Source organism: Homo sapiens, chromosome 2 (genome assembly GCF_000001405.40).
Source record: "Homo sapiens chromosome 2, GRCh38.p14 Primary Assembly".
NCBI lineage: Eukaryota > Metazoa > Chordata > Mammalia > Primates > Hominidae > Homo > Homo sapiens.
This window is the reverse complement of record NC_000002.12, coordinates 15809122-15818779: the sequence shown is the minus strand read 5'-3', so window position 1 is coordinate 15818779 and position 9658 is coordinate 15809122. Positions and strand designations below refer to the sequence as shown.

Genomic DNA, 9658 nt, shown 5'->3' with positions numbered 1-9658 from the left:
CGATCCTCTCCATCCTGCTTATTTCCAGGGGCCCGATATCAGGCTTAATAGCGTGCTGCCTATCCACACGCCCTCCATAAACACTAAATGCTCCTTTGGGAGTTTGCGCCATCCCCACAAAGGCAGCCACAGCATCAAAGAAGGACTCTGTTCTCTGCCCGATGCCTGCCGAGCAGCTGTCCCCAGCAGGCCTGGAATCCTCCCCAAAACAAGGCAGCCCCTGGGGTTCTCCCGTCCTTCCTGGAGGTACCCTCTGAAGTTCCTGGCGAGGAAGTTCTGGTTCAGATAAAGGTTACCCAAATAGCTCCAGCCGCCCTAAATGTGGTGGGAGATTTACAGGAAGCAGGGAGGGCTGGCACTTCCAGGAGCCGTAAATCTCTCCTGCCTGGGCTGGAGAAGAGAATGCGCGGCAAACACTAAATCAATTTCATTGGCGTGCTGCGGGGTTTCTGCACTTGGAGGTTGGGCCCAGGATTGAAAGGAAGTAGTTGTCAAACATCAGAAATGATGAGGACAGACGCCGGAATCAGAGCTTTTGATTTCCTGTGGACCAGAGTTTGCTTGGTCTTGGCCTGTTCTTTGGGGATCTCATCATAAATGTCCCACGACTCAATGACCCTGGGTGCCAGGCAGCACTGGGCCTCTCTGGAGTCTTGGGGGTCTTCTCGTAAAGCCCCCTCCTCCTGGGGCTCCCGTCTCCCAGCTCTTTGTATGGCTGGCTCCATCTCATCAGTCATATCTTCGCTCAAATATCCCTTTCCAGAGAGGGCTTTCCTGGACGTCTGTCTGTCTAAAGGAAGCCCTTAAATCTCACTACTCACTCAGTTTCTCTCTGGTTTAGCTCCTTCATCATGTCTGAGAGAATCTCGTTTATTTAATCACTTGCTGACTGCCTGTATACCCCCACTGTATCATCAGCTCCATGAAGGCTGACTTGTCCACACTGTATGCCTGGTATCTAGCACAGGACTCAGCTGTATGTAGTAGGTGCCCAATACGTCTTTATTGAATGAACAAATCAATGAATAACTAAATTCCCAAAAAGCATCCACTCTAACCTCCATCTTCCATCAAGAGTAGCAACGATGAAGGGTGGGGTGGGGTGAAGAGGGGAATACATTTATATTTATCCCAAATACCGAGAATGTGGAGGAAGAACCTTTTCAGTAAAACCATTCATGATGTGTGCTTGGTTCTATGAGGAGAGATGTTCATGTATTTATCTTATTCTACAAAAAGATCTCCTGGAAGTAGAGTTACTCAACTTTTCAATGAGGCACCTGAAGCTCTGAGGCTGGGTGCTTGGGCAGGCACAGCAGGTGGGGCTGGCCTCAAGCTTTCGCCACTTTCCTTGTGTCTTGCTGTCTCCTCTAAAGGGGTTTCTAGCTCCCAGGGTGAAAGGTGGCTGCGGGTGGCGCCGTCTCCCCACTCCGCTTCTCTGACTGCACCCACAACACGTTTTGCCTGGCCCACCCCTCCCTGGCAGAGAATGTGCAAAGGTGTCTTCCCTTCACCTAGAAGAGGGTGGCTCTCCCTGGAGATAGGAATCCTGTACCAGTATTGTCAGAAGCCTGTAAAGATGACCTGACCCAAATTTGTCATTTTTTCGAGGGGCGAGTTGAGTCTCAGAGAAGAGAAGGGACCATTTCGAAGACATGGCCAATCAGAGGCAGCCATACAGCTAGGCCCAAGTGTCCTGACTCCATGGCTAGTGGTCCTGTGACCACATCAATCTTCCTGCCTCCTAGAAACACATGGCTGCCAGGAAGGGATGGTTGGGGTGACTCCCCTCTCCCTGTTGTAGGGCAGCCCAGTCACTGTTGCTGTGATGGAGAAAAGGGCATGGGGTTTGGAACAAACCTGGCCTCCCTGCTGCATGGCCTTGGGCAAGTACTTCAGTCTCTAAGGCTCACTTATCAAATAGCCTTGAGCTGAATCTGTGGAGGAGAAAGAATGAAAAATGAATGTGCAAGCCTCTGGTGCACAGAGAGTGCTCAGTGAAGGTCAAAGCTCTTCAAAAGTGCTTCCTTTTCCTTTCATATAACATTTTTAGTGCCTCTTGTTTCACTCCCAAAGATCCTATCCCACTTCCCACACACGCACACCAATACGCCCATGCCATCAGTTTCAACTCCCCCCGTGTCCATGATGCCATGATGGTTCCTGTTTTGGGGAGTTCACCCTTGCTACTTAACTCAATTTTAAAAATTGTTTTTATTTCCAGTTACCTCTTCTGGGAAGCCTTCTGGGATTTCCAGCTCCCTTGAAATTATCTTCAAGGGGGAAAATGTCAACCAACAGGTTCAGCTTCTCTTTCTGGTTACAATTTTAAATAGCCAGCATCTTTCAACATTTGGTCACTCTGCCAACACAGAGCCCTAGTTATGTGGCAGGCATGATCATAGGTTACAGAGACAAATCAGGCATAGTCCTCCTCTCCAAGAGCTCCCGGTCTAGTGAGACAGAAAGGCATATAAGCAGTGATATGACGGAGTGGTAAGAGGTTGAAAGAGCAAATCAGCTAGGCTAGTACTAGCGGCTGTAACAAGTAATCCCCAATATGTCAGAGGTTTCCCACAGTAGAAGTTAATTTCTCACTCATGTCAGAGGCCAGTGCACATGTATCAGTTGGCAGGGGGCAGACTGTGGGGGTAGTCACTGCTGGAGAGTCAGGGAAAGTGTCCCCAGCAGGGGACAGAATGGCCAGCATTTAAGAGCGGACTGGTTAAGTCAGCTCAGGAGCTGGTTGAAATTAGAGCTAATGTGCTCAGTATGTCCCATCCAGAAAAAGCTAGTGATAGTCTTCGTTAGGGTGGAAATACACAATATTCATAGAAGACAATAAGGGGCACCTGTTGGGAAAATCTCTGCTTGGCTGTCTTGCCCCCTTTGCAGTTAGGTAATTTAGCATGATGAAGATAGTCATGTCTAGGAAACAACGCTATCTCTACTTTCAATCTTTCCAATGCATTCAGATGGAGTCTGAAAGACAATGCGCTAAGAAAGATGTGTCCAGTTCAGACCTGTAACATTTGCACAGGGGGGCTTGGGTAGAAGAACTGAGAGGTACATTTCCCCATAGGTGGCGAGCCTCCCACTGTGTGAGCAGGTGCTTAAAAGGTCAAAGAGCAACGAACAGAGTGTCCTGCTGGCCTTTAAAGATGGAAGAAACCGCTGACCATGTCGAGCCCAGGAACCAGAGATTCTGAGGCTAAATGAGACTTGAAGGTCACCTGGCCCAATCTCACCCATATCTGAATCCCTGAGTACAGCATTTTTCAGGATGGCTGCCCACTCTCAGATCAGGTCATCTCACAGCGACTGGACAGGCTGGTAAGCTCTCAGAGAAAGATTTCCTCCCAGTCAAGTAGAATCTGGCTCCTGGACCTTCCAACCACAGGCCCTCGTCCTACCTAGTAGACCCTCAGTTTGTCTTTGTCATTGTAGAGCTGAGGAAACAGAAGGAAGGAGGGACGTGCCCAAGTCACTCAGCAAACTCACGGCAGTGCTGGGAACGGGAACCAGCTCTCCTTCTACTCAGGATTGGCCTCTTCCCACTTCATTGTGTCAAATCTATTTACAAAAGAGAAAAACCAAAGGGTTTGTGTTTCTTCCAACTTGGTTTTGAATCTCGGAGGTTTTCCTGGTGAGACAGAAGGCACGTGGGAGGCTGGAGGAGGGGCTCTGCTTCTCCAGGGGACTGGAGGTGTCAGGGAAATGTGACATGAGGAAACACATTTGCACAGAAGGAAAATGGGGGAAAGGGAGCAATTTTCAAACCTTCAAGCAATTAGGAAAAAAGGCATCTCCGGAAATAAAAAATGACCCTTTCAGGAATGTTCTTTCAGAGAGTGAACAAGAAGCCCACACATCTATTACATAAACTAAATAGTCATTTTACCTGATTTTCTGCATAATTGATGGGGATATCAACATAATCACTCTGGATTCATTAACAGGTCTTGAAAACTAGTTTTAACACTTGCAACACACTAAAAAAATAAAATATAATATAATAAAGCAGGAAAGATAATCCTCCTGGAAGGAATTCATTTCAATGCCCCACAAACGGGCCTGCACAGATAACAGTTCCCTTGGAAAACTGCATGTCTCACTCAGCAATGTTTACGTCTGCCCCACGCCACCGCACAGGATGAATCCACACCCCCCCCCCCACCCGGTTTGATGTTGAGCTGCCAAGGCTTTCTGTCTGGGGTGCTCAGAGAGCTGCTCCTCCAAGACAGTCCGACTATACCCAGGACTGGGGCAGGGAATGAAAGGCCGGCTGCAGAGGAGATGGCTCACTTCAGGAGAAGCAGCGGGCAGATCTCCAGGTTCTGGAGATGGGGAGCTGAACTCTGAGCTGCCATGCACTTGCTGAGTGATCTCTGGCCTCAGTTTCCTCCTCTATGAAATGAGTCAAGTTCAATACCCACTTCTTGAAATTATACATGTGAAATGCTTAGCACATGGTCAGTGCTTACAGAAATGGCCTATTATTATTCTGTGCAGATACCTTCCCTTCCCAGGAAGAGCTCCCAGGCATTGGAAAAGCAGAGCATTAAGTGCTCTGTAGGAGAACCTGGAAATAGAAGCGGCACCACACAAAGGAGAGGTGACTGCTTCTCTCTGGAAGGGAGGGAGTTCGCTGAGATGGCTCCACTCAGATGGGACTTTGAGGATAGACTAGAGGAAGTGGGAGGACATTCCAGGCAGAAGGACTGGTTTGTACAAAGGCTCAGAGGGAGGAAACCGCAGGGCCAGTATGGAGACCTGCTGTGAGGTCAGCAGAGCTGGTGCATGAGGAGCAAAGGGTGGGGTGAGGCTCATTCCTTGAGACAAGAGAGGAAGGCTGGGTCTTGCCCTGCATGGTACCCAAAGGTGATGTCCACAGGAGTGCTTCACCTGCTCTGCAGAGCAGGGCCTGGCCTCTGCAAGGGAGTCCTCCTGGGAGCCCCAGAGCCTGGGAGCTGGCAAGAGCACTGAGCTGTGGCGAAAGCCCACCCCCATCCCCACCCCCACTGCCCCTCATGGTCTGAGGAGTCGGCCTGGCTTTACAGTTGCCCAAGAAACAAGTCTAGTTGCCCAGGTTAGAGGTCTGGCTCTATGGCAAAGCAAACAGAAGTTGCAAAACACCCAAGTGCTTGGAATGCTGGTTGCAGGGCCCCGGGGGAGCACTTGGGAACCAGTGGTTGCAAATGTAGATGGGGATGCTGGAGACAAAGATGGGGAAGGCCTTGAGTGTGGCCCCAAAGGGAATTGGCGACAAATTCAGACAGAAAACTATGAACCAGGTCTCCTAGGTTCTGGGACAGTGCTTTTTCAGTTGCAGTTTGCTACCTCTCAGCCAGCGCCATTGTGCTGCCCAGCTCCAGGGCGCCATGCTTCCAATAGACCATGTGAAGAGCAGACCTGGAGTTGTGCAGGGCACAGCTTGCATGGCCATACACAGCAGCCCCACACCCGGCATCCAGCTGTCCAGATGGTTAGAGCTTGACCCTTCTCCAGGGAGTGATTCTGACATTGTGTGGACACAGAACCTGATGCCAACAGCCATCCACAGGAGCTCAGAACTCATTTAGTCCAGGGTCAGTAACTATGGTGCATATATGAAGCCTTTGCTCCACCCTAACCAGTCCATGGCTGGGTAATCAATGCAAATGTTCCTGCTGATCCAGGAACCCACCAATTCTTCTCAAAACAGTGTCCAGCATGGCCATTGCTAATTCCTCATTTGAAATGTATTCATATTTATTCAGTGCCAGGCTCTACTCTCAGTGCCACTTGGAGTTGTCCTCAACGCAGTACGTAAGTTCTGATCTGTCAGCTCAGTGTCCACATGAGAAGTCTGCTGGTTAGTGGATCCCCATCTGCAGACTCCAATTCTCTTTTCCATCCAACATGATGCCTTTCAACCTCCCTATTCTTTCAACACTGCAGCTAAACTGTAGGCAGCAGAGAAATCTCAACCCTAAGAGAGACTTTGCTTTTCTCAAGTTTCTTGTCATTTGCACCTCAAAGGCCACAAAAACTAGCCAAATCCTCCCTGCCAGTCCAGATTCCCTTATCATTTACAAACAAATTTGCATGTGGTGGCTCAGCCAGCAGTCGCAGAGCCTAAATCTGAGCCAGGTCCTTGTCCACAGCCTGTTGTCTCTGGCCACGCCCTACTGCCTTTCCAGGCTGACTGAGAAACTGCAGCCCTGTGCTCATCACGCTGCCATTCATCTCGGATTTGTCAACGTGGATTTCAATTTTAAGCTTTTTCCTTCAAAATATCCTGCTTGCATTTGGCATTGGCTTCTGCAACTGTGCAGTTTGAGAACAATATGAAAATCAGCATTTCATCAAGCTGTAACGCTTGTTAAATGAGATCTTGAAGTCCCTAGAATTATTCTTCCAGAATCGAGTGGAACAAAAGATGCCTGAATTTTAAACATTCAGTTTGAAAAAAAAAAAAAAGAACTGAAATGTGTACACGTCCTTGAATTTCTAAAAACTAAGCCCAAGCAGGGACAGTTGGGGGATTTTCCATCCTGTGAGATTTTCGTAGTGGAATTAACCTCATTACAAGAGCGCAGTGAGTGTGGGGCGGGGAGGAAAGGGGGGTGAAGGTGGGGCTCCTGGTGTGTGGCTCTGGACAGACATCTCTCCTTCTCTGGGTCCACATTTTCCATCAGTCCTATGAGGGATGGACCAGGTGCCCTCTCTGTTTCCTCCCACCTGTGACTGTCGGTGCATGTGGCCTCCAATTCATCACAATTTGCACTTGAGACAAAGTGATCTGTCTATCCCGAGTGCACCCTCTCTGCATTCATCACAGCTTCTCCTCCTTCCAGAAATTCAGTCTCATGTTCATCTGCAGGGATACCCCAGGAGTAGCTTGATAATCATCAAGAGCATTCAGCCCAAACCACAACTACCCATCCCAGGCCTATGGAGGGAGACCTCCATGCCCCAAGGGAGGCTGGAAGCCTTAAAACCTCTCTAGGCTGGGTGTGGTGGCTTACAACTATAATCCCAGATACTCAGGAGGCTGAGGAGGGAGGATCACTTGAGCCCGGGAGGTTGATGCTGCAGTGAGCTATGATGGCGCCACTGCACTCCAGCCTGGACAACAGCAAGACCGTGCCTCTAAGAAAAAAAAAAAGAAACAACTACCTCTCCAGCCCACTGCCCCACAGGAATGCGAGGCATCTCCTGGCCTGCCTCCTTCCAGCGGAGGAGGGCCTGCAGGAGGCACAGGCAGCCCATCCAGCCCCTCCAGAGAATCCACGCCTGAGATCAGGGACCTGCTTCCTGGGTGGATCTCAGCCAACTAAGTCAAGGGCGGCTGGACAGTCCATGACTCTACCATATAGACCTAAAAGAAATGTGACTCCGGAGAAGTCATTTCCCAGGAAAATGCATTGAAACTTCCCCTTCCCCCCCACCAGGCTCCTCCTCCGAGGGCATATGGGAGAAAGGAGTGAGGAAAGAAGGGAAGGCCACAGACCTGTCCAGTACCCTAGTGGGAGGTGTCCTGAGACCTTGAATAACCTCCTGTCTTCCCAGGTACCCTCCACCATTATTTGGCAGAATCTGATGATGTGTTCATACCCTAAGCCTTCTCCAGCTCTTTGGAAAACAATTCACGGTTTGATCTCTTCTGCAGACATTTTTTCCCTGGCCTCCTGCTCTGTTCCAGATGTAGGGCCCTGAACTGAAGGCAAAGGCCTTGAGAACAGTGGCCCATGCCCCGGGGAGCTCTCTGTTCCCCCCTCACACCCTCCATCAAGGGCAGAGTCCCAGCCAAGCTTCGGGGCCAGTACATTCTTATCTTGGAAACTTGTAATGTGCTCTCAGGCTCAAAGACTAGCTGGGGTGGGTGGTGGGGGTGCTGGACCCACAGCAGCTATAGACTGACAGGGAAACAATGCCCGACACCGGGCCCTTCCCACATGCCCTGCTGAGGACCGACCTGAGTTTCTGAGGCGCCTCTGCCGGGCCCTGTGTGGAGGGAGGAGGCAGAGAATGGGTGACGGGACCCTGGACAAGCCAAAGCGGTGAGTGGGGCTCACACTGGAACAGGCAGAATTGGTCACTGGGGGGAGTGAGGGGATGGGGAGAGACTGGAATCATATTATTAAAAAGGGATTTCCAGAAGCTTTGCCAAGCATGAAGAATGCAGACTCCCTTCAGACACGGAAGGCAAGATTCTATTGCTTGTAAATTATTGTGGATGCTGGACTGGTGTTTGTGGAGCAGAGACCGGGTCTCAAGGCAGCTTAGCCTTGGTTATATTCAGTCCTAGGCTCTAGGTATAACTAGACGCATCTTATTCTCCCCAACCCGTCACCTGCCACGATGAGCCTCTTAGGGGCAGACTTCGCGTCTTGCTCTGTCTCTGATGCGTCCTCGCCACCGAGGCCCCACGCATGTGTTTTGAGGGAGCATAGGCTGAGAGAAGAGGCCAAGGGAGGGGCTGCAGCCAGGCAGGCTCTGCGAGCTCTTCTCCCGATCATTTCCGTCTTCTCACTGGCCCATAGGTGTCTAACCCCCTAGCACATGCTAGAGCTCTGTCTTAAGAGATGACTTGGAAAGACAGATGGGGAGGGAGGAGATGGGGAACCCAGTAGGCACTGATATGACTGTCCCAAACTCCTCAACACTGGCCCTCGGTGGGGCTGAGCCACGAGGAGCAAGAGGGCAAGAGGGCAAGAGGAAAGAGGAGGGCAGGAGGCAGGAGGTGAAGGAGAGAGGAAGACCGGGGAAGAGGAGAGGGAATGTCACACGCAGAGAGGAGGAAGAGGAGAGGCGGAGGGATGAGGAAGGCCCAGGAGAGGCAGAATGAGGCAGAAGGCACGGCCCAGGGCCCCGCTCCTTATTTCATTGGCCAAATACGCAAGAGCTTTCAACACGGCTGCTACTTGAGGCAGCATTTCCTCCAACTCTCTTTCTTGTTTTGAGGCAGAGACCAGGCTGTCTCCCCACCCACCTCATCAGCATTCCAGGTGATCTGTAAGAGGAGGCCGCTGGGAGGACCCTGGGTGGGACAGGACTCCCAGGTGACTCCCACCGCCTCCTGCGGGGTACCCACTAGCTTCCCTCTCTCTGGTTAGGAGACAGCTGGAGCCGCGTTCTGAGGAGGGCTGGAGGCCCACTTCTCCAACAAAGCAGCGATTTCCCCTAGCACCATCTAGCCTCCTCCCCAAAGTCCTCGGGGAAGGGCAATTTGTGGAAACGGAGCTGCTGGGTAATAGATTTCTCTGTCAACATGATGACTGAAAGAAAGGGCGAAGTAATTAGCAGTAATGCACTTCAATTACGGCTCCGCCTCCCATCCCCCACCCAACCCCAGCTCCCTTCCCCATTTAATTTTCATCTAAAACAAAACAGTTGCCACAGACCCAAAGCTAAAAACAGAAATCCCTTTCAGCTCCCGGCAAATTAGCAGGAATGTCTTATTATGGAAGCGGTGGGCGAACTTATTCCAGAGCAATACAGGAAGCAGGACTCCCGGCCGGTATCCCTTGCCTTGCAACCCCACTCTCAATGCTCCCAGCAATTAACCTTGTCCCTCCAGGCCCCAGATCACCCTCCCCTCACAGGCCTGGCTCAGCCTCTTTCAAAGCCCTTGCCTGAGGAATTCTGTCAAAAATCAGTAGCACCTTAGAGG

At 50.8% G+C, this 9658-nt stretch overlaps 2 annotated features.

The window, feature by feature from the left end:
• Positions 7342-8069: an enhancer, noted in NCBI's record as "H3K4me1 hESC enhancer chr2:15950835-15951562 (GRCh37/hg19 assembly coordinates)". NCBI's record gives its function as "activates a minimal SCP1, AML or CMV promoter by ChIP-STARR-seq in naive H9 embryonic stem cells {active_cell/tissue: H9 hESC(naive)}" and the evidence as "EXISTENCE:reporter gene assay evidence [ECO:0000049][PMID:30033119]".
• Positions 8798-9525: an enhancer, noted in NCBI's record as "H3K27ac-H3K4me1 hESC enhancer chr2:15949379-15950106 (GRCh37/hg19 assembly coordinates)". NCBI's record gives its function as "activates a minimal SCP1, AML or CMV promoter by ChIP-STARR-seq in naive H9 embryonic stem cells {active_cell/tissue: H9 hESC(naive)}" and the evidence as "EXISTENCE:reporter gene assay evidence [ECO:0000049][PMID:30033119]".